Below are 27,509 nucleotides of genomic sequence, written 5' to 3'. Positions count from 1 at the left end.
GGAAGACGGAGTTATCTGAGAAAAGGTCTGCATTAGGGAGAAAATGGGTGAGTCAGGTGTGAGACTGGGAGCCAATGTGGAGTGATACCATGGGCAAAGTGAAGGTTGGGAGTTAAGGAAAGCATTTATCAGTTTTGTACAGATCTGCTTTTGTTTTTTGTTTATTCCAATATACATCTGTCTCAGTTCAATTGATAACTTTCTTTGTTTTTCTTTAGAGCCATGTCTTTTCAAGAACCAGGGAACCAGACAGATTATTCTTCTAGCTCTGGCATTTGATACCTACAGGTACTCAATAACTGTTGTAAATATAGTTAAATAAATCATTTAAATGTATGGTTCGATTGTTTTTGTAGGTGACAGATCATCGCTTTTCTTTACTAATACATTGAAATGTGTTGTGGTGAGGATTAATTGAGATGTTGTATGTAAAGCATTAAGCATGGTGCTGAGCACACAGCAGATACTCAAAAAGCAGTAGTTACTCATGGTAGTATAATTTTTTTTTCTTCTTACATTGACTTTTTCATTGGACTTCTGAATGAACCCCCACAATTCCATATATATTGCTGTGACTGCTCATGACCTAACATCTTAATTTTTCACTGGCCACAAAATGAAGTACAGTGCAGTTCACATAGTAAAACATGCAGTGTGGTTCACATAATAAAACTTTGGTAATGTTAACAAGAAAAAATAAAGGAGGTGAAAGATTATGTTTTCTTCTATAGAATTTTTGGCTTCACTTCACTTTGTTTTATTACTAGATTCAGAAGAAATTCAACTTTTACAATAGTGATGAACATAGAAGACTCAGGTAACTAAAGTAAAGGACAGCTTGGCCCTATGATTTTTACTATATGATTCTTCTAAGAACACACCAAAGATAAGTTGTTAGGGAAAGGCAAAAGGGGACTGTCTTTCAGGTAGTTTATAAAGAGATGCCTAAGTTCCTTAATGCTCCACACCTTGGCTACCACAACAAAATAAACTTCTGAAATGTGTTAAGTGAAAATAGTTAAATAATATCATTCTGTATTAATTCTGACTTTCATTCTAAAGCAAATTTGTACTTTTCATTAAATATGTGCATATGAAAAACTATTGATTCCATAAAAATACACAAAAATATATTCAAGATAATTAATAATATTATCATTGCCAAAAGAAATTTTTATCAAACTGAACATTACCTTCTATTTTACAGAGAAAATTCTCAAGTGTAGAGTTAGGGATGAGAATTGTGAATCATTTCACTTTGACTATGTCTATATGACAAATTACCAAGTTGGCTATTTAGCATATAAATTATTTCATTTATTTAGAAATAAAAAGTACAGAAAAGAAAATACATTATTTAAAAGACTTGTTATATTTAAATATATACTCCCTCCTTTGTTCTTGATAATTTCACTCCAAGATCACGGTAGCAGACTGAGGTAAAATAACAAGCATTTGGTTCTCTCCAGAAGCTAGTCTCACTAATTTTCATTAGGTTTTAGTAGACATCTGTCCCAACATTTTATTAAGATGATGAATCCAGAATTACTTAACAATCAGCATAAAAATCACTGTAATTTTAGTTTTCTGAAGAGTACAACAATTCTTGACTTTTGGAAGAGTAAAGCTTATTAAAGGGAGGTTGTGTCTGTGTATTATAATATTTAATTATGGTAAATCTAAAAGGATAGAAATAAACACAATTTATAAGCAGTTTAAAAGATTTTTTTTTTGTTTCAGTGGTTCATTTCAGGGTCCACCCCATATTCAGATAAATTTTAGCTTAGTTTTTGTGTCTCCGTTGTCCATGTTCTGAGTAAAGGCAGCCATGATCCTTGATCTAAGGAGTTGAGAGTAAGACCAAGGAGACGAAGAGATGAGAGAAAGTGAGCATGAGGTGAAAGGTAAAAGCGAATCCTAGTTAATCCTCTTCTCATGCTCCTCCTCCCCCTCCTTCACTCACAATCATTGGCAAGCACCCTGTCATTCCTTTAATTTATCTCTACATCTGACTTGGCAGGACTGCTTCTGCTTAAGAAAGCACTTGCTATTTACAATATATATTTTTTAAGTGTGTGAGGGAATATGGAATACGGTTTGAATGAAATGTATAAAGGGCACATTCTTTTACAGTTCTTTCATAGTTGTGAATGTTCCAAAATATACAAGGGGAAGGTGGAGTCTTCACAGATATTTTCTGGAGCATCTCATTACGTTTTGGAATTGGGGAAAGAGAAAAGATAAACAGGCAAAGGGACAAGTTTTTGAAAGAGTGATGTGATTCATGAGAAGGGCCCACACTAGAGAAATACCATTAAAATGGAGGGAAAGAAGCAAAGTAGAGAGACTTCTAAAGTGGAATAACAGAGAGAGAGAATACCTGGGGAGGAACGGGTTAGGAAAGGAGAATGAGTTCTTAAGTTTCAGACAGACCGATTGACAGTCTGACACTCAAGTATGGCTTTCTGGCAGTTAGAAACATCAGCCTGGAGCCTGGGAAAGAGATTGGGGCTGTAGTCATCAGTCATCAGGGCACGGGTGACAGCAGTGTGGGCACCATGGTAAGCACTTCCACCCAGGACTTCAGCTCAAGAGTCGCTTAACAGAAAACGGGCTCTCTGAACTCTCAGCTAACTAGAAAGGCAACATTTTTCTCTAATAAAACATCGTCAAAATACAAATACATTTACTTCAAAAGCCTCATTATATATGAAATTCCAACTATGTTTGAATCATATCTGCCTATAAAATGGTTCTGTGTTTTAGAATATTAGGTTAAGTGGTTATCAATTGTAAAAAGATTTAGCTATCATCCTTATTATTTAGTTATATCAGTCAGTATTAGGAATTCACATTTAAAATGAGTGATTTCCTCTTAGCAATCATTTTTATTGAAATTAGACCTATAGATTCTAATATTTTTAATGTGGTCAAATCTTTTTTCCCTTTGGTAATTTCTTTCATTGGTTTTTCACTTAAACAGGCTTTCACAAATTATAAATTAGAGATATCTTATGGTATCTTCTTAATTTTTTCTTGAGTTTTTTTTTTTTTTTTTTCTTTATACTTACCTCTTCAATCTGCCTGACATGGACTTTTGTGAAAGGATAGAGTAAAGGGTTAACACCCACTCCAATCTCTCCTTCCCATTCTCCCTTACCAAAATAATTTATCAGCATCATTTATGAAATACTTATTTCTTTTCCCAATTGTATAATACCACAAATCAACAGATTATTTTTTTGTAAATGCAACACACAAAAGGTTAAAAGCTTCCATCTGTACAGGACTCATATAAGTCAATAGGAAAATTATGAATAGCACAGGAAAATATAAAAAAGACAAGAACCACACAGGTCTCAGCAAATAAATATAGGGATAATATATATGTTAATAATATATTATTTATGTAATTATTATTAATTATATTATGTATGTTATATAATATGTAATATATTATAAATTAATATACATATAATTTATACATATATAATAGACACATAATTTTATATTAGACACATATTATATACAATTTTATAATAGACACATTATATAATATAGAGGTATAAATAAATATAGTTTTTCTTTCAATCCAAGAAATTCAAATTTAAGTAACAAGTACATTTTTAAAGACTACCATAATGGCAAATGTTTTTTAAAGTAGATGACTCCCTACTGTGAACACACACACAAAATTATAGATAGGGACATTCATTTATACATTAGCTCTGAAGGGCAATTTGGCCACATATATCACAAATTTTTTATTTTTAATCTAGCAAATAAAATCCTATGGATTCTCAGGACTAAGTCAGATCTGTACACAAATACATATATGCATGGAGATTTATAGTAGTATTATTTAAATATTAAAACGTTTAAAATGTAAATATTTAATAATAGGTAAATTTTTAAGTAAACATGTTTATATAACCTTTGTTGAATATTATGCAGACATTAAGAGTTCTAAGGAATATTTATTAATGGTGATATATGAATAATAAATTAACAGAAAAGCTGGATATATCTTTGTATATTCTAGGTAATTTTCATTTTAAGTATATACATATGCTTAAGACAAAAAAACACTAAAAGATTGTAAATGTATGCTTCAAAATGAGAGCAATGTTTGCTTCTGGGTGGTGGTATCATTGCTGTCTTCATTTAATATGTTAGACTTTTCTACATGTTATCAGTGTTCTACAACATCTATATTATTTCTACACTCAGAAAAAAATGGTAACTTTAAATGAGAATCATCTAAAAACGAAATGGCTAGTGTAACATAGTAATTAAAGGAATATACTGGAATTGCTGAATCAATATTCCTATAAAATTATCCCTCATCAATTTTTGTGTGGAAGAGAGGGCAATTAAGGCTGCTGGAGCTATACCAATTATGGAATAAAGACTGGAAGTGCTAACAGGTGTTTTGTTGTTTAATAAAACTAAACAAATACACAGATAATACCTAAAAACTCATATAAAAAAGATGTGAATTAAAATCCTAGATGCATTATAAATGCCAATGGAACATAGTGATTCAAATAAGAGTCAACCCATTTTAATCATTTTTCCTAGAAGAAAAGCTTTTAAAGCAAATATCCTGAATGAAATTATGTATACATTTTATTATACACATTGGAATGTATCATAATAACTCCAGAACAACCCAAGGAACTTCCCAGATAATATTTTTTTTTTGCCTGAGACATTTTACATGTTCTTCTATATAAAGTGTTTTCTACTTCCACTCCCTTAGACTCCCAAACCCTTCACTTGAATAACTTGAATTTACCCTTCTGTGTTTTTCTGAACTATCCTTCTCTTCTGTTAGCCTGTCTTTACTCTCCATGGTAAATATCCTTGCTTCAGGTTGTTACAATTGCCCTCAATACATCACAGCATTTATCCTAATGGATAAATTTTATATATTCAATAACTGTTGGATGAATTAATAAATGAATGTATTCATAACTACAGTTTAGAGGTTACTTAACATGATATTTATATGCTTTTTTTCTAACTCGTATAATGGCCCTGTGAAATTGTCAGTAAAATATTAGTAACTCAGTTTTATACGTAAGTAAATAATAAAGAGATTCCATTCTTACACAAAACCATATGGCTAGTATATTAGTCCATTTTCACGCTGCTATAAGGACATACCCAAGATTGGGTAATTTATAAAGAAAAGAGGTTTAATTGACTCACAGTTCTACAGGACTGGGGAGGCCTCAGGAAACTTACAATCATGGCAGAAGGGGAAGAAAACATGTCCTTCCTCACATGGTGGCAACAAGGAGAAGTGCAGAGCGAAGTAGGGGTGCAGGGAGGAAGCCCCTTATAAAACCATCAGATCTCTTGAGAACTCACTCACGATCATGAGAAAAGCATGGGAGTAACCACTCTCATGATTCAATGACCTCCCACCAGGTCCCTCTCATGATATGTAGGGATTATGGGTACTACAATTCAAGATGAGACTTGGATGGGGACACAGCCAAACCATATCAGGTAAGCAGTATGACAAAAATGCTTACCTACTAATTTGGCATTAATTTCAGCGTGGTTTAATAATTCAACCATGCTGCCAAACTCATCCATTCAACGAAAAGTACTTGCCTTTACAAAATGTATTTTCCTTTTACCTATGATAAACACTGCAACATACAAGAATTTTCGGGCACTGAATACAATTTAGAGTCCACTTCTCTGCATTGCCACTGCTGTGGATAATGAAGAGTTCAACATATTTTTCCTGATACCCTTTATTTAGAAAGGAGATTCCCCTTTAATTCCTGCTGAAAAGCCTGAATCTGTGGGCTACTGGGCCTATTTATCACTGTCACAGCACAGCCACTAAAGATAAGGATGTATCCCAAGGGCTAAAAATAGCTTGATCGGATTATTCAATCCAACGCAGAAGTTGGTTAGAAATGGCAGGCCCTACAGCTCAATGACGGTTTTAATCCTAAGTAAAAACTGATAGCTTATGTACCATACGATGTGCAGTGAGAGCCTGAATACGCTCTGACTCCTCCCCATAATCCTAAATCTGAAGAACTAACTATAGGAAAGGCTTAACAAGTTGTCAGTTGTGTCTGCTCAGGATTTTCTTTATTTTGTAGAAGAATGGACAATCTCTAGTTTTCATAAGAACTTATGAACTGTTTTCTTCAGCAATGGACTGTGAACATGGAATAAATTGCTTAGTACTTTTACCATTGATCCAATTTGTCTCAGTAATCAGATTCAAAACCCAATTAACAGTCCTACTGGGATGTGAAAAGGGAATCTGCTCTACAGAGGGAGAGGCTTAAAGAGTCCCTGAACAGGATATCTGACTGTGTGATATAAGAAAATAATAAAGCAAAAATTTTAATATATTGATTTTTTTTGCTTAATTTATCACATGGCATCATTTTTAGATATTTTTATTATAAGTATTTCACCCTGGGGTGAAAAAAGTAGGAGTTAACCTGAAACTATTTTTCACCATCAAATTGGCAAAAATTTGGAGTTCCATACCAAGTGTTATTGACATTATGGGAAAGGGGCACTACACATGGGATTGTTATTTAAGATGATCCCTTTGTGAAGATATTAAGAAACATCCATTATAATTGAGACTATGTATGCCCTATAACCTTCCATTTTCACATCTCTATATACATTCTTGAGAAACACTGTCACCTGAATCTAAGGAGCCATGTTCAAGGATACTTGTCCAGCCTTTATTTGTAATAGCAAAGAACTGGAAATAATCTGAAGACCATTGATAAAGGAATGGACAGCATATTATGGACTGCAGTATAGTAGTTAAAAAGAATGAGGTAGATCTTTATGTTCTAGCACAAACATATCTTTAAGACATATTGTTGAAATGGAGGAAGCAAACTGCAGAACATGTATGTTTTAATTTCAACAACAAAACAATACTTTGTTTTTTCTATAGTCATATATATTTACAGAATTCAAATATAAGAAAAAGACACTAGGAGAGTACACATGAGGAGTTATTTCTAGAGTTACTTCTGGAGGAGAATGAAGGGGACCAAGATTGCACTCACGATAAAGGGAACTTAGATTTATCTATCATGTTTTAATTTTAACAAGGGCAATGCAATTAATGTGTTACTTATTTAATACAAAAGAATTAGTCTCAATATAATTTGGTTTTGAATGTATCACTTTGAATAAATGCCTCAGAGAAATTTTTGAGCTGGTCATCAATAACTGATACAAAAGTAACCTGGTTTGTACTTTTTCTAAAATTAGTTTCCAGAAGCAATATAAAGCAGTTTATCTAAGCATCATAGGAATTCTGCTTCCCTGAGTAGATCCTGGAAGAAAATAAGAGAAGTCATTATTTTCTAGAGTGCTAATCCTAGGGAATTGGACCAGTCAGGATCAACTGGTTCTTCTGGGCAGAGAGAGAGTGGGATTGGGGGGAAGGAAGGGGCCAACAGAAACAAATCAGTGGGCTAAAGGGGCCACAGTCAATTCTAACTATATATACCCTGAAGGAAAATATCTGCAAAACCGTTTTCTGTCAAGATGCCAGAATAAAAACATCAGGTAAATAGGCAACTTCAAATTTCCTTTCTCTCTCTTTTCCTTAATCCTTCCCTACACGAGAAAAAAACAATGGACCTCTTTTCTTGTTTTGAAGTATTGCTAATGATGATGAATTTAAAGAACTCATGAGGGCAAGTCAGGAGAGCTGGGTCTTATCCTGACTTCTCTTGTTAACACAGAGAAGTATTCTACGACGAGAGTAATCATCAAAATTTAGATTTTCAAAATCTTTTGTGCACACTTTTATATCAAAGTCACGTCTATATTAAACGCTTTTCTGCAATGGATCTATTTGGGAGGCCAACAATTCAAGATTGAATTACTGCATAACATTTACTAAGAAGCTTAACATTGTCCAGTTACAAAACTAGTTTCACTTTGTTTCAGAGAAAGGGGTGGAAACGGAGCATTACTCCCTGACATGATGAGCTCACAGGGCCTTTGTAAGGATCAAAGCACAGAAGAGCTTTAAAAACTGTAAATCACTCTACAACTTATTATTAATGGTCAGTCAAATCCAGCAGTGTTTCAGAAATATACCAATCAGGAAAGGAGGGGGTAATAGAAAGGAAATATTCTCAATATCTTTCTTTCTCAAGGAACAGAAAGTAGGAAGATAGTCAATGTTTGTAAAATGCATTTTAAGTTCATAAAATAAAAATGCAAAGAATTCGAACACATTTATTCTGCTTAAACAATTTTTAATGTAATGACCATTTATTTACTTTGTAAATAAATGTAGTAGGTATAATATAATGAATATAGTAAAATACAGTAAGAAAAGCATGTTAATGAGTATGTAGAAATGGAGATGTAAAGTATGTGTAGAGACACCTGTTGAAGTAAAAATATACCTAGAGTTCCTGAAATTTATTTTCAGTTGCTTAAGAGGAAAAGCAAAGAAATAAATCAAGAAAAATGACACTGGTTAATTTTTTTAGAAAATTTCAGATAAAAATTTCAAACAGCTTTTTAGTTCAGAAGATGCACAGCTGCAATTCTGAAGCTTTTAAAAACTGACATGAGTTTGCCACTAAGAATAAAGCCCCTTTTTGAGTGTGACTCCAAAAAGTAAACTGTCCTGTGTAGACAAAGAAACAACAGAAGGGTGATGGCTTTTTGACTGCAAGCACTGACACACAATCTTTTTAGTTTGACCTGCCATGGATGCCAGTTTCAGTCTATTGATTCCCAAAGCACAAATTGTTACTATAATCTATTAGCTTTGATGACTAGAAAATAATGTCTTATCTCTTATTTTATGTAGGAGTGAAAAGAGAACATTTGCCTCAACCAAAAAATAATTATAAATCACTGATCATCCAAATATTAACAAAATTTATATGGTGTGTTTTATGTTCCAGGTACTTCTCAAAGAAGTTTATACTTAAGTGTCATAATGCTATGAAATATGTACTATTTTATATATATATATACATATATACACACACATATGATTGCAAAATGTACATGTATTATTGACACATATATAATTATATATTTGTTTTGTAGCTTAAAAATATCTTCCATTCATCAATTAAAAACTAGAGCAGATTTTTCGTACAAATGAAAACATACATAAAACACATAACAAAATATAATGCCACAATTCATAGTATACAAGATGACATGGTTCTTCATTTTAAATTTTCTCTTAATAATACTTGCTGTAAAAATTAGTTGTTACCTTACCTTTTCTATTAAAAATGATAAATAAATAATATATTACATTCAGTTATTACTAGGAGTGAGACTTGAAAATTATATTTGGAATTAGCAATTGGTAAACATTCCAATAAGCTTTTAAAAAACTACAAATGTTTCTTCACTTGCTTTTAACCACTAAATTCTTTGGCTTTCAAAGAAGCTTTTTCTCCACCTTGAATGAAAAGAGCTTGTAAAATCTCAGATTGTTAATGTACTGGTCCATTATTAGTGTTTACAAAGTATAAGGCTCTTTGCTGGGCATTGCAGACTTAATAAACAGAGGACATGGAGCTTGAAGAACAGTGAGGAGATTTTGCACAGTAATTGTACAGTGTGCTAAGAGCTACGATAATGGAAGTACAAAGTGCCATAAAACCACAGAGCAAGGAGCCTGACCTCCTGCTTAAAAGCTTTTGTGCATGAGTGTATGTGTCTATGCAAAAGCAATGTCTTCTCCTGAAGGATAAGTAATTAGGGGAGGAAAAAAGATGAGAAGGCAAGTGACCTTCGCAGAGAGCACAGTTTAGGCAAAATACTACTTGGTCCTGGGAAGGTAACTCATCTGTCCACACAGAGGTGCAGCCCTTCCACTTACTGGCAAATGCTGAAGCAGATGAGATAAACATATATGGTGGCTCAGAAATGAGAGAATCTGGAAAATCCAGAAGTCACTACAGTGGAAGACGTAAGAATCCCATGTATTCTCAATGGCCAAGATTCTAGGAACTCAGGTTTTGATAATTACTTTTCATTTTGTTTGAAATTCTGAATAAAATAGTCATGTTTCTTGCCTAAAGGACTTCTATTGAGACATCAAGTTATATCAGTACAAAGTATAGGGAACTCTACTACAGATGTTGTGAGTAAGAGTGAAAGAAAGATGTAGAGTAGATGTGTGTGTCATGATTCATACTGTCTCAACAGCAGATGCTAAAAAGAATAAAACATAGAATTAAATTTCTGCTATCTCATAACCTGAGCTGCTTAAAATATTTGATTCTTGGGCTTCAAACAACTATCACTTTTAAAATACATATTAAAACTGGATTATGAAATAGTCAAAGTATTTAAGTTGGGAAGATACATACAAATTAATAAGTAAAAATCTAGACAATGTAGTAAAAACCAAATCCTACTTGAATGTGGTGGCCAGTTCAAAATGTCTACTGTGCAATGACTGGATATTCACACTTTCTGGCCCTCATCATACATGTGAATTATGAGCAGCCTACTTTCCATTAGCATGCATGTTAATAAACGGAGTAGATTAGGATATAAAATGAGAAGACCGCTTGCATTTTCAAATATTTCAATTTCAGTTTTCAGGCTCATTTTTAGCCTAGCTTATATATCTAGTCTTTTACTCCCTCAAAATACAGAGGAAGTCTGAATTTTAAATTAACATATAAATTACTTTATGTTGATTTAGAAAATCTAAGCTGACCCTCAGGTCTTTTAACCATCAATAAAGATTAGTGAAATAAAGAGTAATATAAGTTATGGGGAAAGCATTACCAAATGTTCATTGATTCATTAAGAATTCACAGGGCATAGTTCTGGGGAATATAAGATTCACTACACAACATCCCTATCATGTAGTTAAAGATATAAAAATCACAATTATAAAATGCTAATATCAGTTTTATCAGTCAAGGTTCTCCAGAGAGACAGAATCAATAAGGTATATGTATACGTGTATTGTATTTCAAAGAACTGGCTTACGTGATTGTGGGAAACCAGAAAATCTGACACTTTTAGGGGAGGCTGGCAGGCTAGAAACTCAGGCAAGAAAGACCCTGCTTTCTCTGCAGCATTTTCTTGTTTGAGTTTACCTAGCTGCCACAAGGCTGCAGGCCCCACTCAGGGAAGCTGTAGCGGCACTGGCTGAGGAGCTTTAGCCTGATGAGCAGTGTGCAGATTTTGCAAATGAACTTGTAATAAAATAATCAACCTCAAAACAGGGCATTTTTGATGATGACCCATCATGTGGTTTGAAAATATAAAGATGACAAAGGAAGGGCTGTGACCATGTTACTGTGGACTGGTTTGGGGTCACAGGACCAGATGGAGAAGTACCAGGAAACCAAGAAAGACAGAGGGAATGGCATCCACCCAAAGAAAAGTTCTCACTCGTGAGACAGTCTGGGCAAAGGCTGAGCTTGTAGAAAACACAGACTTTCAGTCCGTGTTCGCCCCAAATGATTTCTTAAACATGCCTCACATATTAAAAGTTTCCATAACAATTTAGTTTTAAACAATCATCTGAGGGGCATGAACCAGGAGAAGCCATTTAAAAATCATGAATATAGAGAATTTCCCAGAATGTTCTTTTTATTCAACTTAGAAGGACTCAGTCAGAAGATAAATCCTGTAAGTGATGAACAAGGTTTAATCTTTCATCGCAAGGGTACAATCCTAAATTTTCTGTGGAAATTTGTAAGGAAAGAAAACATTTGATAGCTTTTAAACCACAGAATGTGTCTTAATGAATATCAGAAATTTCCTGTTGAACAGACTCAATAGACAGATAGTGCAATCTCCCAGAGCACACATTCTCCTGAAAACACAAGAACTCCTCTTCATGGGAAATTCTGTGGATGGGATCAATCCTTTGTTGCACTTTCCATCTCTTGCTATTTTATTCTCACCGTATTTTTGCAGGTCCTGCCAGTTCATGCTTTTTCTCCTTTGTCTCTCCACCTTTCCCTGAGCTCTCTTGTCTCTCTCTAGCCTTTGTGTATTGACTTCATATGTTTATATATTCAACATCACTTTTACTTTCCACTTAGGACCCACATTTTTTTTCTGGTGTTTTGTTTTTTGGTGAAGGAGTGTCTTCATATCCACTCAGGTTTTTTTTTAAAGTTTATCAACATTTTATTTTGTGTAATATTAAGGAAGGACATCACAAAAGTACTATAACTATTATTTTGTAAAAGAAAGAAAACTAACTTCAAGATGGAGGCAAGGAATAATCGAAGATAAAGGACAGTTCCTTCCCAAAATAGGACAGTTAGCAAACTTATGTCAACATCCCACCCCCTACACACAGACACACACACACACACACACACACACACACACACACACACACCACAGGAGTGACTTTGTCTTAATATTTCACATTTTGCTACAGAATAACAAAACCTTTACCTTGGACTGGTCAACAGATGAGATGATCTCTCATGCTTTTAGGGTCTATGATTTTATAATTTTAATAATGTTTTATTTTATTCTATTCTTTCTACTTTTTTTATTCTATGCAGTAATCTACTTCACTTTTAATTATTTATTTCCTAAACATGGATTATCATATAAATTTTCAAATTCCAAGCAGCCTCCCTCTTCCCGTGCTACTTTTTAAAATTGAAATTCTTATAGAGATAGTTGTAGATTTATGTGCAATCGTAATGAAGTTCACATGCAATTGTAAGAAAGCCCATGCTCACTTTACCCAATATAGCATAATGACAACATTTTGCAAAATACAACCAGTATATTAAATGAATACAATCCACATATCTTATTGTGATTCCCTCAGTTTTACTTGTGTTTATATGTGTGTGTGTGTGTATGCATGTCTGTTTAGTTCCATACAACTTTATCATATGTGTAGGTTCATGTATCCACTACCACAGTCAACATTCTGACCAGTTCCATCACTGCAAGGATCCCTTGGGTTGCCTCTTTATAGCCACAGCCACTCCACCTTTCCCTGCTCAGTCTCTGTTCCTAATGCAGGCAATTTTTTCATTTAAAAACTTATATAAATGGGATAATACAATATTTACCCTTTAGGACTGGCTTTTTAAAAACAGAATATATCCTGGAGAGTCATCCAAGATGCCATGCCTGTCAATACTTTGGTCCTTTTTGTTATTTAATAGTATTCCATGGTATGTATATGACATGGATTGTTTGGCCACTCATCCATTAAAGAATATCTGGTTTGATTCCAGATTCTGGCTATTAAAAACAAAGCCACTTTGAATAGTTCTGCCAAAAATAACAGAAGTACAAAGAAAATCTTTAACGGAGCATTGTCATCATACGAAAGGTAGAAGACCATTACTCATATCTACTGGGTTTATCCAGCTTAATGTGCTATTTTCATACTAGGCACTATTTAAATGATTTTAAATCATTTAACTTTCATAAAAATCATATGAAGGAAGTACTGTTATAACCCCATTTAATGAGTTAAAAAAGTGAGGCAAAGAATGGTTAAGTAACTTTCTCGAGGTCACATAACTTGTAAATGGTCAAGCTGAAAATGAACCCAGGCAGTCTTACTCCAGAGGTCATTATAATAAACACAACTCAATACGAAATCAGAAGGAGCAGAAGAATTGAGAAATAATTTAATTTTCACTATTCACAACTATTTTTCAGCTTCCATTAGTTTGATTTTGGGCACATCACTTGAGTTAACTAGATCTAAACATATTTAAGGATAAAATGGGGTAGGTATTTTTCATTATGTATGTGCTGTCTTTCAGAGCTCATATTTCAGCTTTTACCAAGGTTATAGGAACGCCTAAAGCTGAGACCTTTGACTGCTGGAATTGGTAAGCCCCAACGATTTCAGGGCACTGGGATTTATTTTGAATACAAATCAGCAGAGCACCAAACATTCTATATTTCATATTTACTTTAAAACAGATTATTTTACAATGCTCTTATCTATGACAGAAATGCATTTCTCCTGAGGAGTACTTTAGTTCTTACTTTAAGGAAAGAATTTTACAAATATTTATGCCAATGTGCCCTGAAATAGCATGTCCAAAATTTTATGAGCTATTACACTTATTGCAAAAACAGAATTAGAACAAAATCTTCTATTTTCCAATCTACCCAAAATTGAATTTAAAAACCAATAAATAATAACATATAAGGATGTCTTTCATACCTCCTCATATATACCTATTATCCTTCGTTTACACTAAAGATTCCGATTTTGTCTTTTTAAGTTATTTTATCTCAGATTGTGTGGTTTCTTTAGGGTGTTTTTTAATTCAAAGTTACTTCAATTATATTTTTAATCTGAAGTATAATACTATACAAATGATACGCAAATTGAAGTTTCTGTGTAACACAGTAGTAGACATGTTTATCTGTGTCAAAGCAAATGAATATTATAGCCCTGGAGTAAAATGTCATATTTTAAAATTTAATGGACAGTCAGATATTATTCTGAAGGAGCAACAGTAAATTGTATCAAAATTTGTAAAGGTACTTTACTTCATTAGTTTATTTTTAAATCATTTTTCAGATACAGTATAAGAAAGAAGTTACCCTCATATTACAGAAAATAAAGTTTGAAATACGTGTCTCATATTTATGTTAGATACCTCAAAGAGAAAGGCTTTTCAAACAGCTACCCTTTATTCTAGTCCCATGAAATTTGATAAATCATTGGTCAGGAGATGATAAAGTCTCATAAAATAACAGAAAGAAAAATTAATATTTTTTCAATAGTAAACAATTTGACAGGCACCATGTAGAATTAATGCTGATTTCTAGAGTCTTTTATAAAGTTGTTTCTAAAACATACACATATACAAATTATAGCAATTTTATGCTATACAGTTGTAGACACATAAAAAATTGTTTTTTTCCCAAAGGAGGCTCTTTTTTATTAAATGTTATGCCCAATTAAGTTCAGTTAATTGTTTTGGTGTAAAATGAGTTGCTGTGAAGTTGTTTTCCCTGAGGGAGTAAGCAGCTCTCTAGCTTTGGAGTATAGGACAAACATCTGAAAGCAATCAAATATTATTCCAGTTCCACAAGAAGTTTTTCCTTAATATAGGATCATTTTGCCTAGATACAGTTGGTTTTAATAAGGCTAATAAAGAGTTTCTTTAAATGATAATATAACCAATCCAAGCCACACCACATTCTAAGTGCCTAAATGCCCTACAAAGTGCAGTTGCCTACAAGGTAGGGAGTCACACGAGTTCATAGCACTTTGTGAGGCCTCCTAAATAGCAGTGAAACGAAGGCATAGTCTTTAGCAAATTGAATCTTGCAAATAATGTAAATGTATGCTAATTATAAATGTATTTATTTCTCACTGGTCACTTTTTGAGCAATAGATTTTATATCAATCATAGCAAATAGCAATGATCCAACATTGTTTTATATTTGTCTGAGAAATTAGGACTCCAAAATCTTTTTAATTTTATGCAGCATTTAAAGGGTTCTTAAGTCATCTTAACTATAGTAATCAGTCATAAATAATTGAATAATACGATCTTCAAGGACTGGAGGTTAAAGACTAAATTTCATTTTTATTCTAACAATGATGGAAGCCTGAATAAGAAAATTGCTCCTGACTAACCTCTAAAAAACATGTACAGACATCTTCCAAAAACAACAACAAGAACAACAACAAAAACCACTACTTCACTATGTAGAATCATCCAAATGATAGCATTTTTCCTTATAATCCCTAAATTACCATATGTAAATAAGAACTTACAGAAGCAATGCATAATTTTTATATGTAATCTTTTTAAGGAATTATAGATTAGTCAGCATTCTTCAAAAGATCCTGCTAATGTTCTAATGAAACCAGCAGATGCTGGAATCCTGCAAGAATATATTGGAAATTCTATTACGTAAATGGAATTTCAACTAATTTATATTTTCATAAAATGATTCATTTCAAATTAATGCACTAGAATAATCTACTGTTGTCAGAATTAAAATACAGCAAAATGGCATACAGATGCAATAGAATAATAATGCTCAAATTTAACGTGGATTTAAATAGCCATATTGTCATGTAAAAATATTTGTAAAGAATTTCTAGAGTGGTCTCTACCAGAAGCCTCAAAATTTCTTAATTCACTCCATTGTGTAGTGGCCAGATGGAAGTGAAAGAAATTATGGAAGTCAGAACATAAGATAACTTGAAGAAATCAGGAGGGGTATAAAAACTGATATAAGGCTTGAACACCTGAGTGAGGTGTTGAGACAGATGATGCAGTCTCAGTGGCAAACTCTTGAGGATCAGCCAGAAGTTAAGACATGGTGCCTGGAAGTTGTAATTTCAGGCAGTATTCAGGTAAGGATAAACATCAAAACATCTAATGAGTGCCATATTAGTATAAATTGGTAGCTAATTTAAAGAGAGAAAGACTTGTTATAAAAATACAAATGTTTCTCAGGGAAGCAAAAGGCAGAACTTCAGCAGGAAGGCCTAGGAAAGACATAGAAGCAATCACTGGAAAACTACAAGCTAACCACAAAATCATCTTTCTCTGTCTCGATCTCCTCTGTGCTGATCTGCTTCACTCTTCTCTCATTCTGAAAATGAGTTTTATCTGCTCTATAGTGTACCGGATAGAAAATGATCAGCACTAATAGCCCTCAACTCATTATTTCCCTTTCAAGAGCGTTGCCAGACTGATTGGAACCACCTGTATTCCATTTCAAAGTCCTCCTGGAAAAGATTCATTAGCTTAAGTCAGCAGTTCAATTAATTGGAGCTATAAGTGGAATAACAGAGATGTACAATCAATGAAAACTACCTGGAAGTAAAGTAAACAACCTGTGATTTCTGTATTTCTGTATAAAGGAGAACGTTACCAAAAGAATGTGTCCTGGGACAAAGATCCAGAATTGAGAAGAGAAATGACAAAAATAAGGAGGGTCAACAAAACCCACATCACTTGAATAATTATCTGCTAAGATCATTAATCCTAGAGTGACACCAGGGTATTCAGCAAAGATTCCTCGATCCATCAACTCTGAAAGAGGACTACTGGATTTGGGGTAGAATAGAGGATAAATAAATGGACAAGAAGAGTTGGAAGAGTTGACCTGTGGAGGATAAAACCTAGACCCAAGGTTTCTATGTATGTGGAATTAAGAGGCAGGTGCACAAAGTCCTAAAATTGAATAAAGGTCACTCAGAGAGACACCTGGAAATACAACAGTGTGATTAAACACCAAATATCAAGTTTGAGAAAATAATTTTATTTCTCATGAAATAGCAGGATTGGAAGCTATTCATATACACTTGTATGGCTCAGATAATAGAAATTCCTTGAGCCAGCCAGTGGTGGTTCCAGTGATTGCATCCCTGAGAAACAAGTAGGCAAGAACAGAGGAAATAAACTAAGAGTGACAATTGTTATTAGCTGTATGTTCTTTATTGCTAGTTCTGCAGTTGCTGTTCTTTCAGCCTAGAATGTGCCCCTCCACAATGCTCTTTATCTGTATGGCATTTACTCACCATTTAGGTCTCCTTTGAACAATCATCTCTTCATTCAGGCTTTCCAGACTCTTCTAGCATCTCTCTGCATCTTGGATAACACTGCATTATTCAAATACAGTGTTGCTTTGTAATTATGATTTGTATGTTTCCCCAACAAGGCTGGAGATTTTTTGTATTTACATCTCTTTATGTCTTTTATCTAATATAGTGCCTGAAAAAGTTTTGAGTATACCAAGGTTGAACTGAAAAACAACATAAATCTCACCTTCCTGCTTAATGTCACTAGCCTAAGGCCTAATTTCTATCATTTTACCAGGTTCCATTTAAAAATAAATAATAATAAATTATATGAGAGATGATTAAACCTCAGAGTCTTTTTCATTTTGCAAACAGGTGTTTATGAAGCAGTTACTGGGTGTTAATCATTATTCCACATGAATTAGAAAAGAAATAGGAGTGTTGAGGTGAGTGGAAACAAGTATAGAAAATAATTATGCCATGTGGTCTGCAACTCGGGAGACTAACATTTCCAGAGTAGAGACTTGAAAAATATTTATTCTAAGGCAAATAAAAGGTAAGTGTGGGGCTTCATTTAGGTTTTGAATTATATTAACCCTACATGTTTATGGAACTAATACTTTAAAAAATGTTTTTAAATGAAGACACTCTCAATTCCTTACAAGGAGCAGCAGTAGATAAAATAAGGTAAAGTTACAAGTGTCAATATTGAAAAAGCTTAGAATTAGATGTATACCATAATTTAAGTTACTTTTTCTGATTATGAAAGCAACATATATTCATAATAGAAAACACATACAGTATAATATCTTCACAAGAAAATAAAAATCACCATCACCTGCCAAATTTTCCTTAACATTCTAGAATATATCTTTCTGCTCTTTATCCAAAAATTTTGTGTGCGTGTGATGTAAGTGCACATTAACAAAAGTAAAAGTTAGACTATCCTGTAAAATTACTCCTTCTTACATATAGCAACTCAATATCTCTTGGGGTTTTTCCATTATATTAAATATTATAAACACTATTGTAATGTTATAGTTGCACATCAGATGGTTGGACCAGAATTTATTTAACCAATCCCCAGTTGTAGAAACTTTAAGTCATTTTCTCTTTTGTTTGTTTTTTCTTTGCTCAAATGTTGGTGCATCTATGTGTATGTGGGTGTGTTGAGAATAAATCACTTGAGGTTGATTTATTACATTTAAAAAAAAACATTATAAATACTCAAACCAACTCACACACGCCCTAGTCATGAATGAAAAAAAATTCCACAAATCCTTGCCAACCTCATATAAAATAGAGGGAAAATATTTTGTTTTAATCTTTATTTATGAAACTTCTAGACATGATTCATAATGTTTTGCATGTTTGTCTGTCATTCTTTTTTAGAATTTAATTTCCTGTTTTTCTCTGTTGGAATGATTTTCATTTCATAACGAACTTATAAGAGACATTTTATGTATTTTGGTATAAGAATATCAAAGCATGACTGCCATAAGTTATAAACATCTTTCAAGACATGTACATCACTCAACAGCTGAAGAATACACATTTTTCTCAAGCAGCACACATGGAACATTCTTTAGTATTGATCACATGTTAGGTCATGAATATCTTAATAAATGTAAGAAGACCAAAATCATACCAAGTATTTCCTATGACCACGATGGAATGAAACTAGAAAATGGGAAAACTTACTAATCTGTGGAAACTAAACACACTCTTGAACAACTGGTGGGTCAAAGCGGAAATCAAAAGGGAATTTTAAAAATAATTAGCAAAAACAAAAACACCTCATACCAAAACTTATTAGATGCTGCACACCTGGTAATAACAGGAAGGATTATATATTAGTGCGTTCTAACGCTACTATGAAGAAATACCTGAGAATGGATAATTTATATAGAAAAGAGGTTTAATTGACTCACAGATCTGCATGGGAAGTTCTGCTGGAAAGGCCTCAGGAAACTTATAATCATGGTGGAACGCGTTTCTTCACAGGGTGGCAGGAGAGAGAATAAGTGCCAGAGAAGCGGGGAAAGCCCCTTATAAAACCATGAGATCTCATGAGAACTCACCCACTATCAGAACAGCATGGGGGAAGCCAACCCCATGATTCAATAATCTCCACCTGGTCCTGCCCTTGACACATGGGGATTATTACAATTCAAGGTGAGATTTGAGTGGGGACACAGAGCCACACCATATGTTTATAGCGATAAACATCTGCATTAAAAAGGAAGAAAGATCTCAAATAAACAATCTACCGGCATAGATTAAGGAACTAGAAAAAGAACACACTAATCTCAAAGCTAACGGAAGGAAGGAAATAATAAGAATCAGAGTAGAAATAAATACAGAACAGAAAACCATAGAAACAGGCAACAAAACTAAGAATGTTTATGGCATTTTTGACACAACAAATTCATTAAATGTAAGTAGTCATTTTGATTCCCTTTTGTTTTGTTTCTATATGTACAAGGTTGCAATCTAACCATCACACAAGCTTTTAATTAAGTCTGAGAACAGCTTTTGTACCTAGAATGGTAGAATTATGATTATCTCTATTATAACTAATTTAAGATTTAAAAATAGATATAGGGTGTACATTTGCAGGGTTGTTACATGGGTTTATCCCATAATGCTAGACTTTGGGCTTCTAGTGAACCCTTCACCCAAATAATGAACATAGTACCCAATAGGTAGTTTTTTTCAATGCATGCCTTCTTCTCTCTTGATCCCTTTTTGTAGTCCCCGGTGTCTATTGTTTCCATCTTTATGTTCACGTGTACCCATTGTTTAGATTCCTCGTATAAATGAGAACATCCAGTATTTGATTTTCTGATTCTGTGTTAATTCACTTAGGATAATGGCCTCCAGCTGCAACCGTGTTGCTGCAAAGGACATAGTTTCATTCTTTTTTATGCCTGTACAGTATTCTATGGTGTGTATGTGTCACATTTTATTTATCTAATCCACTGTTGATGGACACAGAATGACTCCATGCCTTTGCTATTGTGAACAGTGCTGTGATAAACATACAAGTGCAAATGTCTTTTTGATAAAACAATTTCTTGTCCTTTAGGTCTATACCCAGTAGTAGAACTGCTCAGTCGAATGGTAATTCTATTTTTAGTTTTTTGGGAAATCTCCATAGTGTTTTCCACAGGGCTTGAACTAATTTACATTCCCACCAACAGTGTACAAGCATTTCCTTTTCTCTGCAGTCTTGCCAACATCTATTATTTTTTACAAAGTCTTAAGTTTTAAATGAGCAGGCCGGGCGTGGTGGATCATGCCTGTAATCCCAGCACTTTGGGAGGCCCATGTGGGCGGATCATGAAGTCAGGAGATGGAGACCATCCTGGCTAACATGGTGAAACCCCGTCTCTACTAAAAATACAAAAAAATTATCTGGGTGTGGTGGCAGGCTCCTGTAGTCCCAGCTACTTGGGAGGCTGAGGCAGAAGAATGGTGTGAACCCAGGAGGCGGAGCTTGCAGTGAGCCGAGATGGAGCCACTGCACTCCAGCCTGGGCGACAGAGCGAGACTCCGTCTCAAAAACAAAACAAAACAACAACAACAAAAAAGAGCAGTTTTTTAAACCTTTACATTGAGCTGAAATTTTTATGCATAAACAAGTGCATGTATCTGACAAATATTTCATTAATTCACATATTTAATATACTAAACATCCCTAAATAATTTATGCATAAAGGTAGGCAATTATGTTTTCTTAAACATTTTAAACTCTATTTACATAATTAATACATCTTATCTTTTAAATATTTCAAATGTCTGACAGAACAGACTTAAAAACATACTAAGGAAAATCCCTCTAATTTCTTAAGCGGCTTTTGCAAATCCAAAACACTCACACAGATTGTCATTTTTTTCTAGAAATAGTTATCTGAGCCTGTTATTTTCCTTTAAAGACAGATTGTACTTTTAAAATCTTTTATATAACAAAATTTGAAATTATATGTAGTTAAATTAACATTTTTCTATCATGACTTTATCTACTGATTTTAAACTGAAAAAGTCATCCTTTATTCAGAAATATAAAATTATATACTGACTTTTTTTCTTATTTCTCCTGTTTTTGTCTTTAACTTTGGCTCCTGGGAGTCACAGAACTTAATTTATTGCCCACGTTAAGCAACAGCATAGTCCAAGAGGAGTATAAATCTACTTTGAATCTCTTCCTACTATGCTGCTATTCAAATTTAAACTTTATTTTATCCTCCTATTATATGTATTTTCTGTAAGGTGCTTCAAATATTTTATCAAATGAGATCTGTTTTAGTAAATAGCATTATTTTTCTGTCTTCGGGATTAATTCTTATATTGTTTTTATAAGATCTATAGTGTAAAAATAATTCGCTTAATGTAGTTCAAACAAAACATACTTCAATCACATCTAACAAAAGATGATGCCAAAATGTGTCTATAGAATGAACATAGCTTACAATCCATTTGACCCGTCCAGTTATAACATTATTTAATTCCTAAAATTTGTTGTTGTTTTTTTAAATTTTGGGCTGTTAGCACTATATAAATTTAAACATGAGATAGTTAACTAACAATTTTAATTTATTCTCTCTTAAATGTGCATTATTTATATTAATGCAATTGATTTATATAAATCTGCATGCACATAAATCATAACCACCCATCCATGATAACTCTCAAAAATGAAGTTAAAAATGAGAGGATTTTTTTTTTTGGAGCCAACACTGAGTAACAAAGATCAAATTCTGCCTCTCATCTGAAACTACTAGAAAACAAGGATGGGACAGGGAATGTATGAAACCACAATTTTTATAACATTATACATCATATGACTAAGGACAGTAATCCCTGAGAGGGTTTTTATGGTATGGCAAAGAACAGAGAAACCAGACAGAGCTTGGCAGCCTCCCTGAGTTAAGATAGTGCTGGAAGACTAGGAAGTCCAAGATAGCTGGAGAGCTGCATAGAAATAAAGCTCCAGAGAAGCATAAAGATTTTCCCTGGAGAACTTCAGCCAAGTAATCATCACCAAGTAATCATCACCTCATGCATGTGAAGCAATTACCTGAGGTCAGGGAAAGAACTATCCTAAGGAATTAGAGGGAATAATCAGAGCTCAAGCAAGGCTGGCAGTAGTTCCTATTCCCACCAAGAGAAGAAAATATCAGAATTTAAGCAATATCAAGTAGAATACTCAGAAAAATATTGTCTTAATAATATGACAAAATTACCCTTTAAGTAATGCTACACTGATCACACCGAAGTTTTAAAACAAGACTCAACAAGAATCAAATTATTTACAAGTAAATTAACTGCATCTCAAAACAAAGCTCAAAAATATTTATAGAACTCAAAAATATCAAGCACTCAATCATTTTTAAACATTCACAATTTTGTACATCAGTCAAAAATTACCAGGAATGCAAAGAAATAGGAAAATGAGACCAATGAAGAAGAGGAAATATAATCAATCAAAAGTGAAATCACATATGTACATGATCGAATTATTATTAGTAGATGAGGGCATTACAACAGTCATTTAAACTGTAGTGCTTATGTTCAAGAAGCTAGAGAAAAGATTGAACATGTTCAATAGGTAGATGGAAGATATAAAAAAAACAAAACAAATGTCCAGAGATTAACACTAAAATGGCTGAAATTTAAAAATACTCTGGTAGTGATTAATGGCAAAATATACATTGCAGAATAAACAATTTGGGAACTTGGAGGCATAGCAATATAAATCACATAAAAATTAAATTAAAACACGCTGAAAAATTAAAAGAGTTTTGAAACAATTTCAAGTGGCCCATGTATTCAAGTATACACTTCAAGTACATATATATTTGAAGCCTCTGAAGAAAATGACAGAGAAGGGGGGATGACAATAATATTATTTGAAGAAATTATTGCCAAGAAGTTTGAAGAAAACTATAAACCCACATTTTGAAGAAGGCTTCACAAATCCCAAGTACAAGAAATGTGATAAAACTTCACCAAGGCACATCATAATGAAATTATTTTAATTCAATAACAAAGTTTTAAAAGAAGACAGAGAAAAAAAAAACAGAGGAATAAAATTAGACTGACAATAGATTTCTTGTTGGAGTCCAAGTCAGCCAGAGAAAAGGACATAAATATTTTTAAAGTAATGAAAAAGAAGCCTGCCAACTTAGAATTCTATAACCAGCAACAACAACAACAAAAAAAAACTTTTAAAAACAAAGTTGTATTAAATGCTTTACCAGACATATGAAAGCTGAAGGAGTTCTTCACCAGCATCCTGCATTATAGGAAATTAAAGGGATTCTGAAGGAAAATGATACCAAATGAAATCCGCATCAACACAGAGGAATGAAAAACACTGGGAGTAGAAACTGCGTGGGTAAATATAAGACAAATAGCCCTATGTATTTTTTAAAAAATTAAATTTGCAATTGAAGTAAACCTTCCCACAAAAAGAACTTCAGGTCCACATGACTTCACCATTTTACCAAACATTTAAGAAAGAAGTAATACCAATTTTGCACAATCTCTTACAGAAAATAGAAGGAGGGAGAAGACTATGTAACTAATTCTCTGAAGCCAGCATCACCCTAATGCTAAAACCATAAGAAAACATTGCAGGAAAAGAAAACTATAGCCCAATAAATAGCTCTTATAAAAATTTGATGTAAAAATTCTTACCAAATTTTATCAAACTCTGAAAAGTATAAAAGGTATATCATGACCAAGGGGAGTTTATTCTAGAAATGAAAAACTGGCTTAATATTTGAAAATCAATCAATGTGATTCACCATATTAACAGAATACAATGAAAAACATATTTCAATAGATACAAGAAAGCATGTGATAAAATGCAATATGCAATATATATTCCTTCTAAAATACAAACAAACAAAAGGTCTTAGTACTATGAATAAAAAGGGAAATACTCATCTGATAAAAGGCATCTACTTAAAAATCTATAGCTATCATACTTAATGTTAAATGACTGAATGAATGCCTTTTCCTAGGGATCACATAACTAGGACGCCCATTCTCATTATAATGATTTAACGTTGTACTGAAGGTTCTAGACAGTGTTCATGAAAACAACTCTAAGGACATTTACACAAGGGCTATTAGAAATAATAAGGGAGTTTAGCCAAAATGCATGATTCAAAAATAAGTATCTAATAATCAACTGTATTTCTATAACTAGCTATGAACATTTGGACATTAAGAAATCAATACCATTTATAATATCAAAAACTATAAAATACTTAGTGGCAAATGTGACAAAAAGACATTCAAGGCCTGTACACTAAATACTACATAACATTAATTAAAAAAACAAAAGAGAATCTAAATAAATGGAGATAGATTTTCATGTATCAGAACACTCCATTTTGTTAAGATGTCAATTCTCCCCAAATTGATCTACAGATTCAATAAAATCTGTATCAAAATACCAATAGAAACTTTTCTAGAAATTGATAAGCAAATTCTAAAATTCATATAAAAATTCAAAACCTTCTCATAACCAAAACAAATTTGTAAAAGAATAAATGTTAAGGACTTCACTGTCTGATATCAAGTATTATCACAAAATTACAGTAATCTAATCAGTGTAATATTGGTGTAAATATAAACAAATAGTTCAATAGAAAAGACTATAGAATTGAGAAATACATTGAATTTTGTAAAAGACACAAAGGTAATTCTATACATAAAGGGGTTTTTTTTTCAACAAATGACATATATCCATATTAAGGAAAAAATTAAAAACAGAAAAATTTCAATCCATAGTTTACAGAATCTATAAAAATTAACTCAGATAAGTCATAGACCTAACAGCAAAAAAAAAAAAAAAAACTATAAAGCTTCCATAAGAAACCACAAATAAAAATCTTTTTGATATTGGATGAAGTGAAAAATTCCAAATAAAAAAAATTGATAAATTGGTCATCATCAGGATTAATAACTCCTGGTCTTTGACACTGTTAAGAGAGTAAGTAGAAAAGCCAAATATTAGGAGAAATTATTTGCAGATTATATATCTGACAAAGAATTTGTATTCAGAATATGTAATGGATCCTCAAATAATAAGAAAATTATCTTCAATAATAAGAAAACAAACAACATGCTTTTTTAGGTTGGGCAAAATATTTGAATTAGACTCTTAACTATAAAAGACATACAGATGGCAAATAAGCACATGGAAAACGCTCAGCATCATTAGTCATTAAGGAAATGCAAATTAAAATCCACTGAGATGCCACTCAAACCCTGCAGGTGTTTAATATTAAAAAGGTTGGCTATACCAAATGTTGGTGAGAATGTGAAGCAACTAGAAGACTCATATACTTCTAGTAGAAACAGGAAATGGGCAACAATATTGAAAAATAGTTTTGATAGGGCGCGGTGGCCCACACCAGTAATCTCAGTACTTTGGGAGGCCAAGGTGGGTGAATTACCTGGCCTGACAAAATGGTGAAATCCCGTTTCTACTAAAATTACAAAAAATTAGCTGGGCGTGGTGGCAGGCGTCTGTAATCCCAGCTACTCGGGAGGCTGAGACAGGAGAATCCCTTGAACCTGGGAAGTGGACGTTGCAGTGAGGCCAAGTAATGCCATTGCACCCCAGCCTGGGCAACAAGAGCAAAACTCTGTCCCCACCCCCAAAAAAAAGAAAGAAAGAAAAATAGTTCGTTTCTTAAACAACAGAAAATATCTTAAACATATATAAAATACACAAATATTTATATATATATATATATATATATACAGTCTCACACTTATATCTGCCATAACAACCAGACATTCCATGTCTGGATATTTTCCCAAGAAAATGAGATTATACATTCATACAAAGACTTACACACATAAACATTATTCACAGATGTACACGATCTTCATCAGTAGCTGACAACACGAATGTCTAGCAATAGATGAATAAACAAATTATAGTATATCTGTATGCTGGAATACTACCTTGCAATAAGAATAAATTAACTTTTGATACATGCAACAAAATGGATGTCTCAATAGTGCTGAATTTAAAAATCACACCAAAAAATGCATACTAAAATTGTATAAAGTTCTTAGTACAAACTAGAGTACAGTGACAGAAAAATCAATAGTTTCCTGAAGATAAGTGGTGGGCAGAATTAGCAGAAGGGAGAGATGATGAAGGGACAGGAGGAAATTTCTGGGATGGTGAATATATTCATTATCTTGATTGTGTCAATGGTTTCATGAGTGTATGCATATATCAAAACTTATCCAATTTGTATACTTTATATACAGTTCATTGTCTTTCTATTATACTTCAAGAAAGTTGTTAGAAAGGCAGAAAGAAATGCTGCTCATAAATATAGCATGTAACAGTATAATTCATTATGATAAGAAAACTGATATATTTTTAAATTAGGGAGTTACTTGAAATGTTAAATATTTTTCCCCAAATAAGACTAAAAGCCCACGAAGCAAGTGCTATGTCACAATCATCCTTTTTTTTTTTTTTTTTTTTTTTTTGACAGAGTCTCGCTCTGTCGCCCAGGCTGGAGTGCAGTGGCGCGATCTCGGCTCACTGCAAGCTCCGCCTCCCGGGTTCACGCCATTCTCCTGCCTCAGCCTCCCTAGTAGCTGGGACTACAGGCGCCCGCCACTGCGCCTGGCTAAATTTTTTTTGTATTTTTAGTAGAGACGGGGTTTCACCGTGGTCTCGATCTCCTGACCTCGTGATCTGCCCGCCTCGGCCTCCCAAAGTGCTGGGATTACAGGCGTGAGCCACTGCGCCCGGCCCGCAATCATCTTTTACAGGTAGTACCATGCCTGGCACAGAGTAGTTGCTTAATAAATATTGGTAAACTGAACATGTTTATCATTTCATTTACAGCAGAAAGGACACTGTGGAAGAAAGCATATTTGAAACTTCTTAGCTGATGATTGTTTAAACACCATCTTCCAGCTGTTTCAT

At 33.3% G+C, this 27,509-nt stretch overlaps 1 long non-coding RNA gene across 1 annotated transcript; it reads left to right on the top strand.

Annotated features, from left to right (window-relative positions):
* Window positions 1-27,509, top strand: LOC105374441 (uncharacterized). Its single transcript, XR_925279.3, has 4 exons — window positions 1-47; window positions 219-288; window positions 13,788-13,856; window positions 27,429-27,509. It is a non-coding gene; the product is annotated as an uncharacterized LOC105374441 (long non-coding RNA).

Source organism: Homo sapiens, chromosome 4 (assembly GCF_000001405.40).
Source record: "Homo sapiens chromosome 4, GRCh38.p14 Primary Assembly".
Classification (NCBI taxonomy): domain Eukaryota; kingdom Metazoa; phylum Chordata; class Mammalia; order Primates; family Hominidae; genus Homo; species Homo sapiens.
Note: the sequence above shows the minus strand (reverse complement) of the source record. Positions and strands in the feature narration are given on the sequence as shown.